This window comes from Homo sapiens, chromosome 9, assembly GCF_000001405.40.
Source record: "Homo sapiens chromosome 9, GRCh38.p14 Primary Assembly".
NCBI classification, from domain to species: domain Eukaryota; kingdom Metazoa; phylum Chordata; class Mammalia; order Primates; family Hominidae; genus Homo; species Homo sapiens.
This window is the reverse complement of record NC_000009.12, coordinates 90,925,504-90,950,536: the sequence shown is the minus strand read 5'-3', so window position 1 is coordinate 90,950,536 and position 25,033 is coordinate 90,925,504. Positions and strand designations below refer to the sequence as shown.

Here is a 25,033-nt window from a genome sequence, read left to right as displayed (position 1 = left end):
ATGGTTTCTTCCTTTCAAAAAAACTCAAGTATTTTAGGCAGATCAGAACATTTGTCAGAAACACATTTTCAAGTGTGTTCTTATAGCGCTATCAGGACTGTGGAGCCTTTGCATACCACTGACTTGGCCTTTCTGCACTTCAGTTTGCAGGACTGTGAAAATAGGTATAATGATATGTTTTTCAAGTGTTTTTTGTGAGAACTAAGTCAGGGAATAAATAAAGCATCTGGCATATAGTAAGCTCTCATAAATTGTTAGTTCCCTTCTTTTGACAAAATGAAAGGACTTTTTAAGCACATTTATTTGTTGTTTAAACAGTTCTGCCAGCATCAGTCCTGAGGCACAGGCTAAATAAGACGCCATGATTTTCCCTGCATGGAGACCAAGTCAGGGAAACGATGTGGCATAACAGCTCAACCAGGCAGGCAGGGATCAGAGACTGTGGTGGGTATCTTATGGTGGCTCCACGAACAACCAACAAGAGGAATAACTCAGCAGCTTGTAGCTGTTTGGAAGCAGCAGTAGCAAACAGTCTGGAACCCTGGCCAGCCACCCCATCTACAGGCACTGAATGTAGAAATGCTTATGAGGGAAAGTGGAGAAGGAAGCGTGCTCCAGAGGGTTACAAAGGAAGTAGCTGCGGGGTGATGGAAGATTTGCAATCCAGATTTTGAATGGTCCAGACACTTTCCTCCCCAGACTGCATGGCCCCCTCGTCTAAGGATGATGCCTTATTTCTGGGCTTTCTCACGTCCTGTTTGTTCAGGTGAATTTCCCAGCAGTTCCTACTGTCTTCTGTGGTTTTCATCTCAAAATACCAAAATACCAAGACAGGGATTTCTAGTAGTGGGGCAGGCTGAGGGGACAATGCAGCAAGGAGATTGCTCTGAGAAGTTCAGGAAAGGTGTTGAGGTCAGAGCCAGCCTTCCAGGAAGGTAACTGGAGTGCCCAGGCCCTGGGCAAGCCCATGGCACCTCAATTCTCCTCCCATTGCACATTTTTTGGAGGAGCTGTGTCCTTTAATGTTAGGTCCCTGGGACCTGAGACTTATTTTGGATCTCCCACCTCTGAGGTTTATGAGCATCACAGTGTTCATAAAAATGCCTAATCTTAGGGAAAACTTTCTAAGCAGTCATGCTGCAAATGGAGAACATGTGCTAAAACTGGTAGAGATTTGATCACTAGTAAGCTGTTGGTCAAATTGACAAACAAGGGAAAACTTTTACAGAGATACAGAAATATTTTCCAAGTTATTTTATTGCTCTATGCATTTCTGAATATATGCATTTGATTATTCCCATGTATCCGTGATGGGCTTATTTTCGTGGCCCTGATGATCCCTGATATTCACCGCCTTGTGCTGTCCTTCCCAGTGACCTTGGCTTTTGACTTGATTTGGCCAGTGGATGTCAGAAAGCATGGCCCAGGCTTGATAAGAGCATGCAGGTTGGGCTTATATTCCTGGGACACCCTCTCTTACAGTGCTGAGCCTCAGGTAAGGAAATTCAGTTACCCATCTGGGAAAATGGCCACATGGAGAGAAAGGATGTCCAGGCAGCTCCCAGCCAAGTGAAGAAGCCATCCTGGATGTTCCAACCACATCAGACACTATTACCCAGCCCAGCTGAGCTCAGCCCAGATTGCCAAGTCATGGGGAATAATCAGTTGTCATTGTTTCAATTCAGTAAATTGTAGGGCTGTTGTTTGCAATAACAATAGATAGCAAAGACAGTGCTACTTACACAAACTGAAGCAACATTACTTATCACAATATACGTATATATAACAAGAAAGAATCAAATGAATCACTGAGGAAGTTTTATAGAAAAATGAGGAGTAGAAGAAATAATAAAGCCCAAAGTAAGTTTGTCTCACAGAAGGGCTTGCAGTTGCATCCTGAATGGTTGCAGTTGCATCCAGGTAGTGCTTAGCTTTGTGTGCCGAAATCAAACCCAGAGACATGATCAGCCATGAGATCCAGCACCTAGAAGGAAATGCAGCAGCGTCTATATGTAGACACTCGTGTCGATGTTGGCATGGAGTGTAAAAAACCAGGCAGAGCCTATTCCCAAAGGCTTCACTGAATGAGGGTTGAGTGTCAATTTTCCTTTTATCTTCTCTTTATGGTGAAATATAAAATACAACCAGAAAAGTACACAGGACCAAGATAATTTATCCACAAAGTAAACCTGCATAACCAGTACTCAGGTCGAAAGGATAACTTTGCCACTCCCAGAGGACCTGCCCCGAAAGGTAACAATTATCCCAACTTTTATAGAAATCATTTCCTTGCTGTCCCTTAGCAACTGAATAGTTGACTTAGTTTTGCTGGGTTTTGATCTTTATCTTAATGAAATTGTGCAGCAAGCGTTCTGGTGTATCTGGCTTGCTATGATGTTTAGCTGTAGATCATTCTTGTGTAGTTCCATACCTAGGAATACATCTTTATTATTGATTTGCATTTGGATCATTTTCAATTAGGGGCTGTAGAAAGCACTGCTGCCACAAGAATTGTATTTACCTCTTGGTGTACTTGTCCATGCAATGCTGTTCGGAACCGACATACCCAGAGGTAAATGTGCTGGGTCCTCCATTCTTCATGACCTTGGTTTTAATAATTTACACCAAGCAGTCTTTCCAAGTGGTTGTACTGACTTAAACCCTTTCCAGGGTGGTAGGGCTCTATAACTTTACACCTCAACCAAAGCCTTGGTGCTGCCAGGCTTTTTTGTGTTGGCCATTCTGATGCATGGGGCATGGTGATTTTCATTTAATTTTCCTTGATTACCTATTCATATCTTTATTGGTCATTTGAAGTCTCTTGTTTCATTTTCTACATGGTTGTCATTATCTTAATAATTTGCAGAAATCTTCTTCAAGTTAAACACACTACAAATATCTCCTCCCACTTTGCTGCTTACGTTTTTCTTTCTTCCTGGTGTCTTCAATGACTAGGGGGTCTTAGAATTATTGTAGAATAATTTATCAAGTTTTTCCTTGTATGGGTCATGCATTTTACTGCTTGTTTAATTAGTCTTTCTCTAGCCAATGTTCAAGAAGATATTCTTTTACATTTTTATTCAAAAGATGTGTTCTGACTTTCATATTTAGACCTGCAAATGTGTGTGTGTGGTATAAGGTAGCAATTTTCTCTTATTTCCATATGGATCTGAAGCAAAGCCACTACCACTTATTGAGAAGATTTTTCTTTCACGACTGCATGGCCATCTGCCTTGGACATAAATAAAGTATCCCTCTCTACCACACTTCTCCTTGGCTTCATGCTCTGTTCCCTCCTTGACTTGGGAGACTGTTCTCTGAGCCTGTTGAACCTGTTGCCCTGCTTCTCAAATGCCCTCTTAAAACTGTAAAATGCCCCCAGGGAAAAGCAGCCCCAATGCTGAGCTCACCTGTTGGGATCTCCATCTTTACACAATCCTGGCTTTACTTTATTCTCTATTTTTAGTTTTCTGATGCCCTTAGACTGATGATTTGATATTTTATTCTGCTTTCATAGTGTCCTCAGCAAGAATTTTGCTTCAAATAACCGAATTCATCATTACCAGAAGCAGAAGTATGGTGAGACAGTTTTTATTTTTTATTTTTATTTTTTTTAGAAAAAAGGTCTCTGTCACCCAGGCTGGAATGCAGTGGTGTGATCATAGCTCACTGCAGCCTGGAACTCCTGGGATCCTCCCATTTCAGCCTCCTGCGTAGCTGGAACTACAGGTGCATCCCACCATGCCTGGATAATTTTTTAATTTTTTTTTTGTAGAGATAGGGTCTCGCTATGTTTTCCAGGCTAGTCTTGAACTCCTGGCCTCCAGCAAGAGTGATTCAGTTTTAAATAAAATTTTCAATATCTTTGGACATGATAGGAGAAATTGTGAGACAATACAGGCCAATGGGAAGACTTTGAAATTGAGCCTAGGTTAGCATCAGTGTGGGAAGGAATCCAGGATGTTTAAGACTGAGAGGGAACCTCTAAGAGTCAGAGCAGGTGTGCCTAGCGGAAAGAAGGCCCCTGGGTCCAGGGATGGTGTTTCATTGGTGGCAGGTACTTCAAAGCTTGTTTAAGCAAATAACATGCAAATTAATTTAAAATAGCTTAAATGAACAAAAAAGTACATTTTCCCACAAATAACAAATTCTGGAGTCGGTGTGATTCCAGAGTCAATTAATTCATCAGCCTGCCAATATCATCAAGAATGCAGGTCTCTCTATCTCATGCTGGTGTTGGTCTGTGGTGGGCTGCCTTCCTACACACCACCTGCCACTGTCCAGGCACCATGTCCAGCCACAGTGGTGGAAAGTGAAGTGGTCAGTGCCATCCCTTCCCCTGCCCTCTTCTCAATAGGAAGGACAACCTTCCTCAGAGGTCCTTTCTGCAGATGTCCCCTCATGTCTCCTGGATCAGAATTGTCTTTCCTGTCACACCTAATTCAATCACTGGCAAAGGGAAGAGGCCCCATGCTTGACTCCAACTCCTATTATTCATCCTTTGAGACTGGGATGTGCCCACCAATGTCTCCCAAAGAGCTGCTATGAGCTCCTTTAGGTGGTGGCGGGACGGTCCTTATGTTTGAAGAATGCATGGATAGGCAAGGAGAGGAACGAGAGGCTCCTGGACACACAAAGGCTTGTTAATACAGTCCAGGCCAGAAGTGAGGGCCCTGAGTGCATGGAGAGAAAGGGAGATTGGGTGGAGGGATGGAAGGAGGACAACAGAAAGGAAAAGAGCCTGATGCCACCAAGCAAGATGTAGAGAGACCTGAATGCAGAGTTGCTTCACTTCTAGGAAAAGTATTCTTAGCCTTACCTCCCAGTTCTGTTTTCATCACCTGGGCAGCTCCATGGGGACAGTCTAAAGGGTTCTGGCCCTGAGCTGCTAACACTTTTGTGCAGGCAGTCCAGTTCTACTCCCAGCTTGCAGACCCAGAGGCTTGGGAGGTGATGGGATTAGCTCATGTTGAACAAAAGCAGGGGGTGGCTCTTAAGCTGCACTAGCCATAGTGACAGCCCCAGTGTTACTGGATGGAAGGTCTTGACTGTGAGTTGTCCAGGTTCTTGGCGTGTTGAACAAAGAACTCAGCAAAATGCACAAGCAGAGCAACAAAAGAACGAAGCAATGAAAAACAAAACAACAAAAGAAAGAAGTGACAAAAGCACAGATTTAGTGCAGTGAAAGTACAGTTCACAGAGTGGGAGCAGGCTCCAGCAAGCAGCTCAAGAGTATCCCCCAATTAGGGTTTTTATTAAGCCAAAAAAATCTGGCAACACCCCTAGGTGCTCTTTAGACGCCTCCAATTGGTTGCACCCCATGAAGGATTGGCCTGAGACCAATCAGAGGCTGAAGTGGAGACCCTGCCCATGGTCAGAGGCTGAAGTGGAAACTTCTGTCAATACAGGAGTGAAGATGTGGTCCACACACTGCCGAATCCTGCCCAGAACTGGCTCCACCCGCCTTTCCTTTGCTTATGACTTAACACTTGGTTGCCCTAATTCCCTATTCTCCTGTCTCACCAAGATCATCCAGATTGATGTGAGCCCTTGTATAAATCAAGCCTGAGAGGGGCCCCTGGTCCCTCTCTGGCCTTTTCAGACACAAGCATACATCAGGGACAGCAGCAACCCCAACAGCATGGGCATGTCTGGAACCAGGGAACCGTTTGTGCCTGAACTTAGGTTGTGACCACTTTGGGTGTAGCCTTCGGGGCAAACTGAGTTTCCAAAGGGTCGACCTGCCTGATTCTTTCACCCTCTAGCAGTTCAGGTCCTCCCCGAGCATAACAGAGTCTCATCTGGGGCAGTTCGTGACTCAAGGAGTAATTCTGGTTCAGAGGTGCCCTAGCAAAAACAGGAGCATCAAACTGCACCATTGCTTTAATTTGGGCTTGCAGGCAGACTGTCGGGGCTTGAGTTGAACTGGTTCTCTGAGATTCTAGCTAATTGGATTGAGAAGGGGCACATTCTGCATGTTCTCCAACCTGGGGATCAGCTGGATCTTGATTCTATGCTGTTCAATTCAGCAAACTCTCCCTGGGAGCACACACTGCTCCATGCACCTGGAGGATAGCATGTCACACTTGCCTCATGTACCATGCAGACCGATGGACTGGCCACCCTCTCCCTATCCTCCATATCCCAGGACCTTTACAGAACTTGGTATTCCAGGAAGTAGACCAGTTCCCAGCAAACTTTGTCTGTACAGGGCGAAAGAGTAAATAATTTAGGCTTTGAAGGTCATAGGGCCTGCATTCCCACTACCCAATTCTGTTGGTGTAGAATGAAGGCAGAAATAGACAAATCATGAATGAATGAGTGAGGCTGTGTTCGCATAAAACTTTATTTACAAAAATAGGCGGCAGGTTGGATTTGGCTCCAAGATATGGTTTGCCAACCCCTGATCTAAATTACTCAGCTATCCTGTTTTCTATGAGAGAAAGAACTTGACAGAATTGTGCACTAATTGTTCTTTCATCATCATGCACTATTTGATTTAAACACTTGTTAATGATGGTTTTTAATTGCCATTTTTAGTAAATGTAATGCATTATATTTTAATCTTTTTCTAATTGGCTAAAAACAGGAAAAGGCAGTCTCAAATCCTTCCTACCAGGTAAGGCATTTGGGTTTTTAAAAATTAATTAATATATTTTTAATTCACAAATAAGAATTGTGCATATTTATGTGGCACAATGTGATGTTTTCATCCATGTATACATTGTAGAAAGGTCAAATCAAGCTGATTAACATATCCGTCATCTCACCAACTTTTATATATATATTTTTTGTGGAGAGTATGTTAAAAAATCTATCCTTTCAGCATCTAGTCTTTTGAGTGTGATTTGCTGCCTAAGTAACTGCACTGGAAATTTCTAATGGAGCCACGCAGTGGGTGAGTCAGCCTCTAATCATTGTTTCTGTTTTTGTTTGCACTCTAAGAGAGTGTGGACTTTCGGGCTTGTCACCCACTCTCTTTATATCCACCAGCCCTGCACTTTTCACGGTCGCCACCTACACAGTTCGAAGGTATGCTCAGGGTGTCAATCAAATGTCACCAAAGAAGAGCAAAAAGCCTGCCTGAACCTTCATGAGGACAGTTGTGTTTAAGCCCAAAGCATGGCACTCCTCATTTGGCATCGATACTTAAATCTAAGCTGAGCGTTTTTAGAGAAAGAAGAGACAGCCTCTGTTGTTGGGATGCGGTCAGTGCAGTGTACAGTGTACAGTGTACAGCATTTGCATGAGGGTACAAAATCATTGCCATAAACCTTGGATGAAGTGGTATGGGGGAAGGTTCTTAACATCAGCAGGTTGGTGAAGAAAGTCAGCAACTAACATTAGAGAGAGCTTGCTGCACCCTCAGAACTGCTCACTGAGAACTGAGCAGTGAGTTCGGGGGCAGGCAATCCAAGTTCAGGTCTTTGAGCACTGTGACCTTGGGCAAGTCATTACATTTTCTGAGTCTCTCTTTTTGTAAAATGTGAACATGATGGATTGATTGCAAAAATGTCCCCACTTTCCATCCCTTCCTTGCGTCCTTTCCCGTGTGACTCTTCAGCTCCTCCTGTTAAGAGGCAGAGTCTAACTTCCCACCCCTTGAGATGGGATGCTTCATGGCTCACTTTGTCTAACAGGATGCATAGTTCTGAGCTGGGCCTCCTGAACCTGGTGCCCTTTGCCAGCTCTCACTCCTTGGTCTCTGCCTGCAAACAAGTCTGGGCTGGCCTGCTGGGAGAGAGACGGTGTGTGGAGGAGAGCAGAGGCGTCCCAGCTGACTGTGAGCCACGTCACCAAAGCACACCCTCTCGCTGACCCCCAGCTTCCCAGACAGGTGCGACATGAGGGAGCACAGCCCAAACCACAGTAACCGCCTGGCTGCTTTCAGTCGAAATTGCTGATCAGCTGAATCATGAGCTAAATAAGTGGTTGTTTGAAGCTAGCAAATTTGGGGATGGTCTTCTTTGCAATAATAGCTGTTACAGGGGTGCTGACTCTCACTGTATCTCAGAATGTTGCGGGGAGCAAACGAGGCCATGTGCGTTAGAAGCTTTGTGAATCCTAAGCAGTACACAAATATAAGCTGCCCATTGATTGCATAAATTTCTATCAGTATTAAGACCAAGAGGAGGATGCAAATCAATATAAAGAGCCCCTTCACCCCGCCGCTCAATACATGCAGGAACTCGCTTCTGTCTTTCTGATATCTCAGCCATGTGCAATTCTCTCCAGCTTCACATACTCATCACTCGTGCACCCACCCCATGTTTACTGGCTACCTACAGCATGCCAGGAACAGCTTTTGACACTGGGGATGTTAAGGTAGGTGGGGTAGAGAGGCAAATCCATAAATGACTAAAACAGTGAAAAATAGCGATGTAAAAGGCAATGCAGAAGACAAGTGCTATGGGCAGAATGTTTGCTACCCCCCTCACTCATATGTCAAAGCCATAATCCCCAGTGTGACTGCATTTGGAGACAGGACTTGTGAGGAGGTGACAATGGTGGAATGAGGTTGTAAGGGTGGGACCTGATCCCACAGGACTGGTGCCCTTATAGAAAGAGGAAGAGACACCAGCACTCGCCCCCTTTCTCCCTTTCCCCTGTGTGAGTACACAGTAAGAAGGCAGCCATCTGCAAGCCAGGAAGAGAGCCCTCACCAGAACCAACCCTGCCAGAACCTTGGTCTTGGACTTCCGGCCTCCAGGGTTTTGTTGTGGCAGCCTGAGCCGACTGAGACAATCAGTACAGGGAGACGCAAAGGAGTCATCAGGTAGCTTCTTTAGGAAAGGTGGTCAGGTGACCATGAGGTGAGGAGAAATGAAGGAAAGAAGCCAGATAAAATCCACGGGAAGAATGCTCCAGAAAGAAGGACTGCCAGGGGAAAGGTCTGGTGGCAGGTCCAGCTGGGGTGCACTCTGAAGGCCAGGGAAAGCAGTGGATTTTACTCTCCAGGTAACAGGAGCCCACAGGAGCGCCTGAGGGAGGAGTGCTAGGATGGAATTTATGTTAGGCCCTTCTGGCTGCTGTATGGAGCCAGAGAGGAAGCCTGGGTGCCTTTTAGGAGGCTGCTGCAGTTGTCCATGGGAGAGACAACCCATGGGTTGTCCATGGGTGTGGTTTTAAGATGGAGAAAAGCAGGTCAATTTGGGATAGGTTTGAAGGTGGCTGTAGCAGGTTCTGTTGAGGTATATTTTGGGATATAAGAGGAAGAGAGGAATTGAGGATGGTACCTCTTTTCGTGATGTATACATAAGGCTATCAGAATACACAGGGCTTTTGTGGGTCCTAACCATGGGCTCTTTAACACCTGGAGGATGGTAACACCAAAAGTTGGGAGCTGCTGAGCTCCTTGGGGTCCTGCTACTCTGTCATCGACTGGTGGAGCAGGTAGTGTTACTTACTTATTTTTTACTGCCAGAGATGGTGCCACGTCCTACTAGCATCACTCTTTTTAATACATGGAAATAGGGTGAAGAGATTTATATGGGCATTGATGATCTATTGCCATGCAAAAAGTCACCCGTAAACAGTGTCTACAGGTTAGGAATTTGGGATCAGCTTGGCTGGGTGCTTCTGTCTCAGGATCTGGCTCATGCAATTGCAGTTGGATGTCAGTTGGGGATGTGGCTCATCTGAAGACTCATCTGGGGCTGAGGATCCACTTCCAATGTGACTTGCTCACGTGGCTGGCACATTGATGCTGGCTGCTGCATGAGGGCCCCTCTCCTCTCCTTGTGAACCTCTCCACAGAGCTACTTGAATGTCCTTATGACATGGCGGCTAGCCTCCCCAGAGTAAGTGATCCAAGAGACCAAGGTGGGGGCTGCAAGACCTTTTATGACCCAGCCTTGGAGGTCACACAACATGATCCTGCCACATGCAATTTATCACAGTAGGCCAGCCTCAATTCAGTGCAGGAGCAAATACCAAGAGGCAAAGTGACCACAGCATACTCTGATTTGCCTAAAAGGCAAATAACATTGTCACTACTGGCTGGAAGGGCACTCAAATGACTTGTCTGTGGTGTGATTTATCCCCAGGTCACCCACAGGGCTGGATTTGAGTCAGACCACCTGTGTCCAGTGCTAGCTCTTCCCACTTGGGAGAGGCATTTAGCCTCTCAGGGTCCTCGTCTGTGAAATGGGCTCTGACTCCTGCCTTGTGGTGTGATGTGAGATTTGGGTCAATTGCTGACACAAGCTGGTGCCTGATAAGTGTTCTTCACTTGCTCCTCTTAGCCAACTACTGTTTGCTGTGCAGCACAGACTTGAGCACAAGTCTTTGAAATGAGTACTTTGATTACTATAGACCGTTTAGTAACCTTTGCACCTTGTCTATGTGGAGATTGAACGGGTGGATTCTTTTCTTGGCTTTGCCTGACACCTCTGGAATGATAGGCACTGGAGAGAACATCGCTCAGATCCACACATAGGCACACGTGGGCACGTGCGTGGCTGCAGGTTCAATACGGGCTAGCTCTGATTTTTGCCAACTTTCAGATATGCCTACAGATTAGATGTCAGTTATACAATTTGGTTTAAATTATTTTCAATCAGCTTTATGCTGTAGAAGCTGGGAGCCACAGATGCTGTTGGTCTTAACGTGTTCTACAAATTAGTTTGTAGGTCAGGGTAAATAGTGATTCAAAACCTCTTTGTCTCAGGTGGGCATTAGGTAAGTTTCTTTAGAGCAATGTCATTAGTATCTCCTCCACATCAGAGGATGTTTTTAGACACCTTGGTTTAGCTTGTGTGGGTGAGATGGGGAATAACATTATATCCCCCCAGTCTACAATGCCAGAATGGGTCCATTTCAATGAAATGCAATTCCTGGGTGGCCAACTAAGCTTAAATAGAAGTCAGCCACACTCTGTCCGCCACCCTACCCTTGGGCCCTGGCTACTCTCATTTCAACAGCCTCATAAAGCTGCAACGGGGGACAAACAAGATCTAATTGGCACTTTGGTTTTCACAGTGAATTGGTTGTGCTAGATACGGCTGCCAATAAAAATTCAGATTAAACATTCTGAAGCCATCTGTATGAAGCCTTGATGTTCCTGCCAAATATACTCATGGATCTAAAGATAAGTTATCTGATCCAGTGGCCTTGGCCATCTTAATTTACTTAATTATACAGTTGAACTCATTGTCAGACATGGGTGCAGTGATGTGAAGGCTGCCATGGAGTGATTCACATCGCTCGTGAGTTGGGTAATAATAAGTGGTTCTGTGCTGCAAGTTTGGGGTCTACAGAGTCTGGTTACAACAGGCAGGTGTCTTCATCTTATTAAATGGTCAATGTCATGCTCCCTCTTTTCCTTAAATATTATTTAACTCAAAAGCTACCTCTCAGTGGAATACTTGAAGTTAATTGAATTACTGTGTTGTAGTCGGCTCTGCTGCCATAACAAAGTACCACACGCCAGGGGCTTAAACAACAGGAATGATTTCCTACAGTTCCGGAGGCTGGAAGTCTGAGATCAAGAGGTTGGCAGGGCTGGTTCTCCTCAGGCCTCTCTCCTTGGTTTACAGATGGTGTCTTGTCTCCATGTCTCCTTATATTGCCTTTCCTCTGTGTGTGTGTCCTAATCTCCTCTTCTTATAAGGACACCAGGCCATCCTACGGACTTCATTTTAATGTACCCCACTCTTTAAAGGCCCTGTCTCCAAATACAGTCACATTTTGAGGTTCTGGGAGTTAGGACTTCAATGTTTGAACTTTCGGGGGAACACAGTTCAGCCCATAGCACTCTGCTTAATCCGTCCCAGCACTATATTTCAACCATGCAGAAAAACTTTTAGAAACTATTATTTAAACACGTAGTAAGGCTATTGCCTCCATATGATTTGGTCTCTGATGGATCCTGTAATTGGCTTGTCCTGGGGTTAGAAAGAGATGAATTCTGGCAAGATCCCAGAGAAAGGGATACCTGAATGGGCAGGCCGCACCTGTGCTAAAGTCTATGTGTGTCCAACCTCAGCATTCATACAAATAATCGGGAAACATGTGAAAGCACAGACTCCTGGGCCACCCCTATGGTTGCTGCTTCAGAAGCTCTAGGGAAGGATTCTAAAATGTGCATTTCTAGCGAGTTCTCAGATGCTGTGATGTGGGCCCACTACCCTGAGCAATACTGGGGTAATTCATGCCAAAGAACCAGGCAACACCCCAGCAGAAGTAGCCACGGGCAAGAGGGTCTTAAACAAGGGAAAGCAAGTGGCTTTCTCCTCCTCAGGCACTGACTTTATAGCTGAATGCTTTGTAACAATTGTTAGGAAAGGAGGACAACATGAGGGAGTTCTAGTAGATGCTAGGCACTGAGCGGAGTTTAGCACTGGCCCTTCAGCACCTGCCATGACAACTAAAGAGTCATCCGACTGTCAGTTACTTACAAGGTGGAACATCCTTCAGTCTTGGTGGACAGTAAGCTTCAGTTTACTCTCTCTAGGTTTGGGAGATTGTGGGGGCTCCACACCCTGAGAGTGGAAGGAACATGGAGCAAACCCCACCCAGGACTTTCCCTCAGAGGTCTGCTCTGCTCCACATTTGCTTGAAGGTAAGAGTTTGGGAAAATCTCCCCCACCGGTGAACTCGAGGGTCCCCGGGTGTTTATCTCCAGGTGCAGCTAATATTACTAATGGAATTACAGCTGACCCTTTAACAACATGGGTTTGAACTTTGAGGGTCCACTAATATGCAGTTTTTTTTTCACGCAAATGTGGATAGCAGAGAGACAACAGTATTAAAAATTGTCTACTGTTTTCCAGAATTGAAGGGTGAGTTAGGAAGAGAAATGATTAGTGCCCTTTCTGTGTAATCTGACTAGAACATTGTAAAGCTGTAAAACAAGGTGCTCTGTTATCCGCGGACCCTTATCACCAAGGCGAGGAGAAAACCCAGTGACTCCACTTTCACCTCCCCCACTGGTGACTCCAGGTTCACATTCCGCACCAGAGGCACCAGGTTCATCTTCCCCACCAGAGAAACCAGGCTCATCTTCCTGACCGGTGACACCAGGTCCACCTTCCCCACCAGTGACTCCAGGCTCACCTTCCCCATCCAGGTCCACCTTCCCCACTGGAGACACCAGGCCACCTCCCCAACTGGAGACACCAGGTCTACCTCCCCTACTGGAGACACCAGGTCTACCTCCCCCACTGGAGACACCAGGTCCACCTCCCCCACTGGTGACTCCAGGCTCACCTTCCCCATCCAGGTCCACCTTCCCCACTGGAGACACCAGGTCCACCTCCCCCACTGGAGACACCAGGTCTACCTCCCCCACTGGAGACACCAGGTCCACCTTCCCCACTGGTGACTCCAGGCTCACCTTCCACATCCAGGTTTACCTTCCTCACCTGGGACACCAGGTTCACCTTACTCCAGGTTCAACTTCCCCACTGGTGACTCTAGGCTTACCTTCCCCACTGGAGACACCAGGCTCAACTTCCCCACCAGTGACAGCAGGCTCACCTTCCCCTCCAGTGACACCAGGTCCACCTTCCCCACCAGTGGCATCAGAGACATGGGGCCCCACTCCCCACTGTGACACTACTGACCCCTTACCCACCAGTGTCACAGGCTTCCCTTTTCCAGAATTGGCCCAGGCCTTCCTTCCCCACTGCAGTGAGAGGGCAGAGCTCCCTGGGCAGCCCTTCCCATCACTACTTCTCTAGGCTCCCCTTAGAGACCCTGCTAAGTGATGGCCCCGCTCACAGAAGTGTCCCAGTCACTTGCCTGAGATTCTTCCATCCTTCCCATGGATGACCCTGACTCTAGAAGAGAGAACATAGTAAGCCAGACAGTTCTGTCCAAGCCATCCCCAGTAGGGGCTGAACGTCCAGTCCAGCATGTTAGGGGAAGTTATTTATCAGAGGACGGCGCAGGCAGCTCAGTCTGTGTTGCTCTGTGGTTCTTGGCATCAGGACCACATGCCGAGAACCACAGAGCAACACAAATGCCGAGGTCTTTGAGCTTCCCACTTCCCCTGGGGGTGGGTGGTGTCTTAGTCTTTCCCATCCACATTGCAGCAGGGTTTGATCCAAGTGGGAGGAACCTGAGGATAACCAAAACCCTCTACCGATTCCCTGCAAACCAGGCCATGACTCCTAGTCCCCCAGGCTGGTACCCAAAGCCTGCTCTGCATCATTGCCCGAGGTTTTTCCTGGGTGCCTCGGGAGCTTGTGCACGTGTGCAGGTGACCCAGAAGTACCAGTTGTGTAACTCACCAAAGGCATCCTCAGCCAAGGAGTGACAAGAGGGAGTAGATAACCCCAGAATCCCATCTTATGGTAGGATGATTTAGGGCAAAGTCCAGGTCACGACTTGGAAGGTCCCCCGGGCACTGAGCCCAGTTGCCCCAGCAGTGACCTGTTCCTGAGTGCACACTTTGTGGCATCCTTTCTATCCCTGTCTTGCATTTCCTCTCCCTGCTTGGGTTTCCCAGATCACTGCTCAAGTAAACCACCTGCTCTTTTTTTTTTTTTTTTTGAGACGGAGTCTCGCTCTGTCGCCCAGGCTGGAGTGCAGTGGCGGGATCTCGGCTCACTGCAAGCTCCGCCTCCCGGGTTCACGCCATTCTCCTGCCTCAGCCTCCCAAGTAGCTGGGACTACAGGCGCCCGCCACTATGCCCGGCTAATTTTTTGTATTTTTAGTAGAGACGGGGTTTCACCGTTTTAGCCGGGATGGTCTCGATCTCCTGACCTCGTGATCTGCCCGCCTCGGCCTCCCAAAGTGCTGGGATTACAGGCGTGAGCCACCGCGCCCGGCCAACCACCTGCTCTTGAGTCCTTGTTGTAGCATCTGCTTTGGGGGACACCTAAACAAAGATGAAAGCTTGGTGTGGAGCTCTGGAGAAGACATGTAGTCAGTGTCCAATAAGTGATAGCAATTATTACCATCACTGCATTCTGGAAATGCCTTATATCATAATATGGTTAGTTTCATAACCCAGTTGTAGAAAATTCCAAAGAAATGTAAGGACCTGATTCCTGGATGGATTTTATACTTAAACTGTGCTTGTACCTGTCTAATGCTCAATTCTCCAAGATCTGAGAGACCTCACCCTCCTTGTGTAAACCGCCTGGCCACCTGTCGCTATGAGTCACTGCCCCACAGCTTGTGTGGGATGAGGTTAATGTCGTGGCACCATGACAACAGCACATCTCCGTCATGCTCAGTGGAAAAGCCTTCAAGGTGGAACAATGCCAGACTCACGGTCAGCATGGTGGGCTCCCCAGTTAGTGGCCACGATGTCTTTCTGTGGTTTTGTTCCCAGGAGACGTACATAGAGATGCTTATAGCCTTGTTATTGCAGAGCTAGCTTTTATTGAGTACTTGCTTCTCAGGCAGCTAAAGTGCTGAAGGCCTTCATGAAGATTTTCTCTTAATTCTCACAATGCCTCCCTGGCATTTAGTAGAGGAGGAAAGCAAGGCATAGGGAAGCCAAATACATTGCTTACTGAATTCAAGTTTCCAACAAAACCTCTTTCTCCTGGTTCTGTCCCCACAGCCTTCAGTTCCCATTGCCGTCTAACACACAGTCACATTTGCACACACATACACATCCTTGCTTTCTCTCTCATCCCTTTAGAAACCAAGAAGGGAGACTTTGGCTCACAATGGTTATGTTCTGAATTATTCCAGCTTTCATTCTTGAGACATGCTGCTCGATTTTGGAGATGTTATACCAGAATTCAGTGGAACTTGGGGGCAAAAAAATAACATAAGGGCAGTGAGAAGTGCCATCCCAGCAGAGCACCAAGGACGGGGTGAGCAAGGGGTCTGCCCTGGCGCAGGCTAGAAGGGGGCTCATCATCTGTGGGGGATTTTAAAACAATAATAAAACCAAGCACCAGTGAGCCTGCTCTTTATTGTCACTGCACACTAGGAATTCCCCACAATGTCAATCATGACATGCTCTTTTCCCACAAAATCTTTTCTGGTGAGAGTTCTGAACAATTGCTGCAGTTACCAAAGCTTCAGTGATAGGTACATGAGCTTCAGGTGAGCATGTAGTCATTACTGATAACTTAATAAACACCGTGTCAGTTCAGAGAACTCCCAGCAATATGGTCATCTCTGACACACATGGACTGAGCTTCCACAGGCGCATCATGAGAGACGTTTGTCAGGGCCCTGGATCATTCAAGCTTGCTTCAGGCACTGCTGGGATCCTCAGCCCTACGGAGCTACACATTCCTGTTCCTGCATGGATGCAGCAGATATGACCTACGCAGCGACTGCACAGTGAAGGTAAAGATGAAGAAACACATCGGAGTTCCTTCAGTGTGACCACTTGGAATCTGCATTTGTGTTTAAAATTCCAGACAGCGACATAGGGTTAGAACTGTGAGGTGCACCATATTTATTAGGTAAGTTCAGATTTTAGCTCATGCATATTTATTTCATGTCATGATTATTACTGACAATTTTGTCTTATGGAAGAGAGGAGTGTTGGCAGTAATCAGGGTGTCAAATATGCCAGGTCTGTCTGCTACATCACACTATAACAGGGGCAGAAATTCAGGTCCTTTTTGGGTTTTGTTTTTGCATACAGTTTTCCCACACCTGAAAAGCAGATGGTATATTACACATACTGTTACGTTTTCTCTTGCCAAGGTGCAGGTGTCCTTTGTGTGTTGTTAAACCCTCACAATATATACTTTATGCAAAGTGTACATCCCAGTCAAGCCCATAGGAAAGGCATTACCCATCGACACTTCTGAAATCTTCTGCCCCTGTGGTTCTAGCAATACAAGAATGACTGCTTGAGAATCTCTAGCCTGGCATCTCCAGGCCCCTGGCTTTCTTCTGTGCTGGAGACAATAGTGCTCCATAGGACACTCCTTTGTGGCTGGCACCCACATCCGCCTCCTGCTGGAGCAATGCTACTGAAGTCTCTAGCTGAGCCCTCCCCAGGGCCTGCCCTCAGCCAGGTTCTACCCCATCCTTGAGCTGCCCCCATCCAATGGCTGGTTTAGGAGGTGCACGAAGGTCTAGCCTGGTGCATTAGGACAAGCCTGAAGTGCCCCCAGCTGAGCCTTTCCTTGGGCCTCCACAGCTCAAATTCTCCTGCTACCCAGTCCTGTCTCCTTACTCCCTATGGGCATTGACCCTCGGGGCACCCCCAGTCTACTGCCTATGCACAAGTCAGAGGCTGTTCCTGGGAACTCTGTTATGACACATCCCTCCTCCCCAAACCCACACCTTGCGTGGATTTGGCCTTCTGGCCAGTGCCCTCTTCCCCAAATGCACCTGTAAGTCCCCATCTTGGTCCCTGTAGCAATCAGTGCTGTGCATTAAGTATGTCCTTCTGGGCTTGTGGGAGGCTTCTGTTCCTGGCCCCTGTGTCTGATAAGCTGGGGAAACATATGACACGTGTCAGTTCCAAGGGAACTGTTGGTTACAGCAGCACCATACTGAACATCTGACTGATAAAGCTCCTTTGGGTTAGAACCTCCCTCTCTGCATTTTTCTGGCCATTTTTACCTTCCAAATTCTGGACAAAATGCAGCCCTCTCTGTAGACCTCCAAATCCAGTAGGGATCCAGTGTTCGTCTTTGTTCTCTTGAAGTCCGTCTTCCCCAGGAGACTGACAATGTCTTCAGGACAGGAAGTGCATCTTAGTGACCCTCCATCCCTCACAAGGCCTTGGTCTGAGTAGAGAGGTAATGCTTGCTGAGAAGACAGGGGACTCATGAGGACCTGAGTGAGGTGCCCAGGATAGATGATGAATAGGCACGTGCGAAATAAGTTTGCCAACAGGAGAGCCATTCCTGACACCGGTGCTAAATGTCACACATCACGTTCCTTTCATCAGCCATAGAGCAAAATCCATGGACTCTCACTTATCCACTGAACACCCCACATTCTTAGACAAAAGAATGATTTAAGTGGGTCTGCAGTATTCTGTAACATATTGTTCTCGGCACCACATGCTTAATACTGATATCAGGTGTTTGCTCCCAGTTACTTCTGCAGGCTCATGTATTGAGCAAACATCAGTATCCTGGGGCCCAAATACTGCTGAAAGCAACTGAAAATATGACAGTGACTACCATTAATATCAGCCCTAATGAACTTTCCATTGTATCCAGAGTACCAATACTGTCATTTCAGCACCTCTGCATGGGTCTTAAAGGGCAGATCTACTATCCCTGCCCTCTGCAGAGGTTCAGGGAGGCTGACTGCCTGTAGGCGAACCACAGCTGGAATGGGGTACCTGCTGGGGGATTCTCACAGAGCAGCGTTCTGCTGTGGGGTAACCGCCGTCTCCTGCCGCTCTTCTGCCTCTGCCATTACTGGTCCTGTTTTCTGACTCACTTACAATATTTCGAGGAGAACCTGAGGGTTTCCCTCTTCATTCTGTTCCTGAATTATTTCCCCCAAATTATTTCAGATTATGTATTTACTTTTAATTATCTTTATATTGATTATTTGTTCTAAAACTCTGTTATGTTGATTTATTTCAGCCTTGGTATTTTGATAACACCACTTAAGCCTCAGCTGTCTGGCCAGTTAAATGAGACAAATCATATGAAGCAAGCACATGCTGATTTGTAGGTCTGCCTTCTCACTGACCTGCTGTGGGGCAAGAATTGGGTTGCAGCCCCTGATCTGCACAGGAGTGCACAAGCAGTCTGCCACCCAGGCAGCTTCTGTGACTTCACAATCAAAGACATTTCTGAGGCTGAAGATTCTTCCTTGACCTCAGCATCCTCCTTCACAGTACCTACTGCAGGGGTGACTACTGCTGAGTACAGGAGCTGGGGGAGATCTCGCAGGCAAAGAAGAGAGACAAGTGCGGTCCCATGAGACCCGGAATGCTTATGGTCTACCCTGCAGTCAATTGACAGCAATTCTTGTTTGGAAATCAATGCATCTGCACTCTGAGTTGCACTGGATCCTGGCGGACCAGAGCTCTGCACGCTTTCTACTCTCCAGCCTGTGTGCAGAAGTTGTAATACTAAAAATGACATTCTCCAAACTCCCTTGCAGCTAGATTCTGGGCCTGATTTTATTTCATTTTGACTAGGTGCACTTACTTGCCATTTACAGGACAGAAGGGAGTGGGGGCTGCGCTTTGCCGTGTCTGCCATTTCCATTGTGAAGCACAGTGGAGAGGTCCTGGTTTTCTGCAGCAGTTTTAGCAAGAGGTCCTGATTTCTGGGCAGTGGCTCTGTGAGTGTCAAGAGCAGGGCTTGGAGCAGCCATTTTGCTCATGAGCAAGTAGCAGACACTCATAGTTCTGGGCCTCTTTTTGGTCCCTAGCTCCTAAGGCGAGGTATTCCTGAAGCATTTGGTTGTGGCTGGTTTTCCAATTTCCTAATCATAATAAAGGTGGGTGATCTGAGAGCCAGAGGAAGCCCAGCATCCTTTCTCCCCACTCCATTGTCTAACTTCTTGCTGGAAGCACCATGGGTGGAGTCATCCGGCATGTCCACTAGGCTGCCTAGAGTAGCTCTTTGCACAATGGAACACAATCTTGAGTGCAGAAATGATGCATCCATCTAGAAGACTCTTCAAAAGAGGTGCATTTCTCATGAGTCAGTAAGTCTCTATGCGCAACAGGTCACAATAAATTGGAAATGCTAGTGTTGGGATGTTCTTTATTATTAATGATAGGAATTTCTTCATTGGCCTTTAAAAAAAACTCCTGGAAGGTGAGTATTAGCTGGAATCGGATTTGCTGTCCTGCCCCTGAAATTCAGCCTTTCTTCCTCCTTTCCCTCCTCCATATTAGATTATTTTCTAACTACAGCACAAAGGCAGCCCATGGATTTAATTACTTGGAACCATATTTCCTTTCATTAAAGGGATTTCCTTTAAGTCCTAAACACGTTTGACATTCAGCCTATCTACTTTAAATAACAAGTGATCTTCTTTGTTCTCCAAGGTTGCTACAATAAACGTGTTATTTTTAGGTTTTAAGTGTCAAAGTTTAACATAATCTCTATTCACCCCCTGCTTCCCAAGAAGGAAATATTTTTGCATATACAATTATATACAAGCATATTCTTCTGTTTTACTTTATCTTTACACAAGTGGGACTTTAGAAAGCTTACTATTCTGTAACTTTTAGCACTTCTTTATCACTTCTGTAACTTTTAGTACATCTTGGACTTCTTTGCTTAGCAGGACAGATGATGGAAAGCCATCAGAATAGCAAGGATATATTGAGCATTTCTCATGTGCTGTGTGTTAAACTAAGCCCTTTAAGTGGATTGATACCTTTGATCTACACAGCAGATAGGAAGTCGGCACTTTCTAAATCAATCCTGCTCTTGGAGAAGGTTATGCATGTAAACCCACCTGGCCCCAATTCCTCACACTCTAACTGCCTGTTATAAAGCCAGCTCCTGCTTTATAACAAATACTTGTATCTACTTGGTAAGTGCCCTCTCATCTCTTTTCTTGTTTAGACTCTCTCCAGCTCCATTACAGGGACATATTAATAGATTCTATTAGTGCTTAGGATATAGAGTGCATAGGAAGAATGGACAGTTTTATAATATTATGCCTTTTATTCCAGAAAAAGATGGAGATTTTTATATAGTGAAAGAGAGACTGGGTCAAAGACGCCTCTGGGTATGTTGTTGGCTCCTTTCAAGTACTTCTTATGGCTCTTAGCACAAAGACAAAATTCCTGCCTCTGTGCCAGGTTTTTGCCATATGTCCAGCTTGTCTCATCCAATATGGGCACATGGCCCCTCAGTTCTTTGAACAAGAAGGCTCCATGCCACCACAGCACAGGCCTTTGGACACAGTGTTCTCTCGATCTGGGATGCTTCCGCCCTCTACCCAAATAACTCCCACACGCCCTTCAGATCCCAGCCTGAACACTGTTTCTTCAGAATGCCTTTCATGGCATATACTGGCATTACCAAAATTTTTGTCATTTTGATAAAAGAAAAACTACATACAATAATTTTATCTACATTTATTTGTGTTTGAGTTGAACATGTTTCTTGCCCATTTTTGTTTCCTCATAAACAGCTCGTTCGTACTTTTAGATCATTTTTATGGAGTTGTTTCTTTTTATTTATTCACAGGAACTTATTTATATTAAAGAAATCATTTGTCCTATTTCTTCTATATATCTTTCAGTTCAAATACCAGTTGGTTATTTGACTTTTACATTTGCTTAAGGCATTTTTCTTTCTCAAAAGGTACTGGTTTTTATGTAGTCAGAGTTGTTAATGCTTTCTTTTAATGTTTTTCGTGTGGAACTAAGAAAAGGCTCCATTTCTCCAAAGTTAGTAGTAGAACAGGGAACCAGTTTTGTTTTTTCTTCCAAATGGCTATCTAGGTGAGCCAAGATGAGATACTGATAAGCCATCTTTTCTAAGTGATTTGTTTTTTGTTTTCTTTTTTGAGACAGAGTCTTGCTCTGTTGGCCAGGCTGCAGTGCAGTGGAGTGATCTCAGCTCACTGCAATCTCCGTCTCCTGGGTTCAAGCAATTCTCCTGCCTCAGTCTCCCGAGTAGCTGGGACTACAGGTGTGCACCACCACACCTGGCTAATTTTTGTTTTTTTAGTAGAGACAGGGTTTCACCATGTTGGCCAGGCTGGTGATTTTTAAATGGCAGCTTAGTCTATACACTTAGTTGTCATTGGTTTCTGTTTATTTCTGTATTGCGTATTATTTCCTTGATGTGTGGTCTAATTCTGTTCCATTATCAGACTGTTATAACTAATGATGCTCTAGAACAGACATTGGCAAACTCTTGCTGGAAAAGACCAGATGGTGAATCTATCAGACTTTATGGGCCTCATAGGGTCACACACAAGTTTTTAAAAAAAAATGCTTTAGGGCCGGGCGCGGTGGCTCACGCCTGTAATCCCAGCACTTTGGGAGGCCGAGGCAGGCGGATCACGAGGTCAGGAGATTGAGACCATCCTGGCTAACATGGTGAAACCTCGTCTCTACTAAAAATACAAAAAATTAGCCGGGCATAGTGGTGGTCGCCTGTAGTCCCAGCAACTTGGGAGGCTGAGGCAGGAGAATGGCGTGAACCTGGGAGGCAGAGCTTGCAGTGAGCCGAGATGGCGCCACTGCACTCCAGCCTGGGCGACAGAGCAAGACTCCGTCTCAAAAAAAAAAAAAAGCTTTAAAATTGCAAAAAACATTCTTTGCTCATGGGACATACAGAAACAGCTCATGAGCTGGCTTGGCCAACTCCTGCTTTATAACAAATACTCATATATACTTGGTAAGAGTCCTCTCATCTCTTTTCTTGTTTAGACTTTCTCCAGCTCCATTACAGGGACATATTAATAGATTCTATTAGTATTTAGGATATAGAGTACATAGGAAGAATGGACAACTTTATAACATTATGCCTTTTATTCAAGAAAAAGAGATTTTTATATATTGAAATAATCTTCTTTTATGTTCACACTGGGGACTTAATATTTCCTTCTCATCACATGTTCATATTTCTTAAATTTATTCCTAGGACTTTGGTTTTTTAGTGTTATTCTGAGTGGCATTTTTCTTCCATTATATTTTCTAAAGAGTTGTTATTTGTATATCAAAAAACTATTTATTTTATATTAATTTTGTAAGTGCCGCCTTTTATTATTATTATCTCTTAGTGTTTCTAATTGTTTTTCAGGGTTTTCTTTTGGCTTTAAGTATATTGCCCACAATGAATAACAGTAAGCCTTTTCTTTTCCAAAACCTATGTTTCTTATGCTATGATCTTGTTTTATCGCACTGGTTAGCACTTCCTGAATGATGTAGTGAAACTGAGCATCTTTGTCTTGTTCCTGCGAGGCCTGGACCTGCTACCCCAGATGAAGCCCAGCCTCAGGGGTGAGGCTGCCCAACAAGTTCCTGACTCAGAGGAAGCCACAGCTTGAGTTGTCATCGATGTTGCTGTTGGCCCAGGGGTGAGTTGGTACCACCTAACACCCCTCAAGAGGAGACCCAGCCTCCTGCATGAGAATGGAGTATTCCTGGGAGATAGCATCAGCAACTCCCTGAACACAGACGGGACCTGGCAGCGAGGACCGCAGTGCCTGAACCCTGTGAGTCAATACCTCCAGAACCTGAGACTTCAAGTCATTGCCCATTGAGGGATGGACTGCATCACGTCTCAAAATTCAACCAGATTTCCAGCTGGAGGCCAGGGGAATCTGGAAACATTAATCGCCTCCCCCATTAAACAGATGCATTTGCTTTTGTATTTATTGAATTAATTTACAAAATGCTGCTGTCTTGAGGGAAGCATTCCCTGGAGCTTGCAAATACCAGCTAATACCACGTAGTTAATATTCATTCAACTGAAGCAGTAATGTCAGGGTTACATTAGCACCAACTAAAGAATACAAACATCCAGACTTTTGAATTCTCCAACCTCCAAGACCTCTGTGATTTACTGTCTTTTAGGGTTCAATCTAGATAGGGAAATTGGATTTCCTGTCAGAAGTTTCTGTGCAGCACATTCCTGAACTTCCTTGAATGGTTTGATGTCTTTCTGAGGTTTCTGGCGTCAGTCCCTAGGGCCGACTGCTACCACCTTGAATCCAAGGGGACTGTTTTGGAGGAGAGGATGGGGGAACCTAGTTGCATCTTCCTGGTAGTGGGACAAGTTAGTCTATGTGTTTTTCACAGTCTTCTAGATGAGAGAAATGCCTGTGGAGTCCAGCATCCAGGTGTTTCTGAAATTGCTCCCATGAATGAAGGCATTTGCCTGCCTCCGCCATCCCAATCCTGCCTACCCACTCTTTCCTCTTCTGATGAGATCTTTCAGCAAATCAAGGCTGGGGCTTGGTGGGTAACTTCCCAAACACCACTAGCTCTCTGTATTTTAAGGTCGTCATCCACACTGCCTGCCCTGAAAGGAAGAGAAGCTGGGCAGTACCCAAGGAATATAGAAACAAACTTTTCCTCTGCTCCTGTGCTATCTGGGTAAAACTGATCAAACAGCACATTTTCTGAGGCTAGGTTTGCTTCATTTCTTTCTTTTTTGTTGTTGAAGAAGTTTGGTGTGGTTTTTGTTCTGACTTACTTTTATACTTTTTTATTATTGACACATAATAACTGTATATACTTATGGTGTACAATGTACTTTTTTTTTTTTTTTTGAGAAGGGGTCTCACTCTGTTGCCTAGGCTGGAGTGCAGTGGCACGATCATGGCTCACTGCAGCCACTACTTCCCAGGCTCAGGTCATCCTCCCACCTCAGCCTCCTGAGGAGCTGGGACTATAGGTGCATGCCATCATGTGTGGCTAATTTTCATATTTTTCACAGAAACGGGGTTTCACCATGTTGCCCAGGCTGCTCTTGAACTCCTGGGCTCAAGCTATCCATCTGCCTTGGTCTCCCAAAGTGCTGGGATTATAAGCATGAGCCAGCACACCCACCCTGATGGTTTAGTACATGTGTGCATTGTAGAATGATTAAATCAAGCACATTAGGATATCCATCATCTCACATACTTGTCATTTTTCCTTGGTGAGAGCATTCAATATTTACTCTTTAAAAGCAATTTTGAAATATATAATACATTATTATAACCAGAATCACCATGCTGTCCAATAGATCACAAAAATGATTCCTCCTGTCTAACTGAAACTTTGTACTCTCTGACCAACATCTCCTTTTCTCCATCTCCTCTTCCTCATTTGTTCCTTAAATTATTTGGACAATACCAGCTTCTTTGGCCTGAAAATACTCTCGGAAGCATCGTGCTTCACACCAGCTAGTAGGAATAAGTACAGGAAACCATGTGACTGGCCCTCAGCAGTGGAATGTATAACTGAGTCATGGTCTGTTCCCACCAAGGAATGACTACCAGATGGTGATAAGAAGTTGATGATCTACAATGATCTGAGATAATGTGTATGAGAATCTTGCAAAGTAAATTGAGCCAAAGAAGCAGGACAGAATAGTACAAATTGTACTATTCCATTTATACAAGGTATAAAATCCAGTAGAACTAGGCTATGCTGTCAGAACTCAAGATAATGCTGGGCCCAGTTGTGACTGGGAAGGGGCATGTGGTGTGCTTCTATAT

The 25,033-nt window shown here is 45.5% G+C and overlaps 2 long non-coding RNA genes across 3 annotated transcripts in view; one reads left to right on the top strand and one right to left on the bottom strand.

Moving 5' to 3' along the window:
* LOC105379829 (uncharacterized) overlaps positions 1-23,199 on the top strand; it is a 38,060-nt gene extending 14,861 nt beyond the window's left edge. The window contains exons 2-4 of the long non-coding RNA XR_001746828.2: positions 12,455-12,562; positions 18,481-19,558; positions 22,788-23,199. This is a non-coding gene — a long non-coding RNA (uncharacterized LOC105379829). The remainder of the gene's footprint in view (positions 1-12,454; positions 12,563-18,480; positions 19,559-22,787) is intronic.
* LOC105376143 (uncharacterized) lies at positions 16,228-17,586 on the bottom strand. Of its 2 annotated transcripts, none has more exons than XR_001746829.2 (3): positions 17,498-17,586; positions 17,264-17,367; positions 16,228-16,311 (listed from the first exon to the last, which is right to left on the bottom strand). It is a non-coding gene; the product is annotated as an uncharacterized LOC105376143 (long non-coding RNA). The 2 variants fall into 2 exon arrangements; XR_930110.2 differs by lacking the exon at positions 16,228-16,311 and adding an exon at positions 16,494-16,576.
* Positions 23,200-25,033: the final 1,834 nt, after the last annotated feature.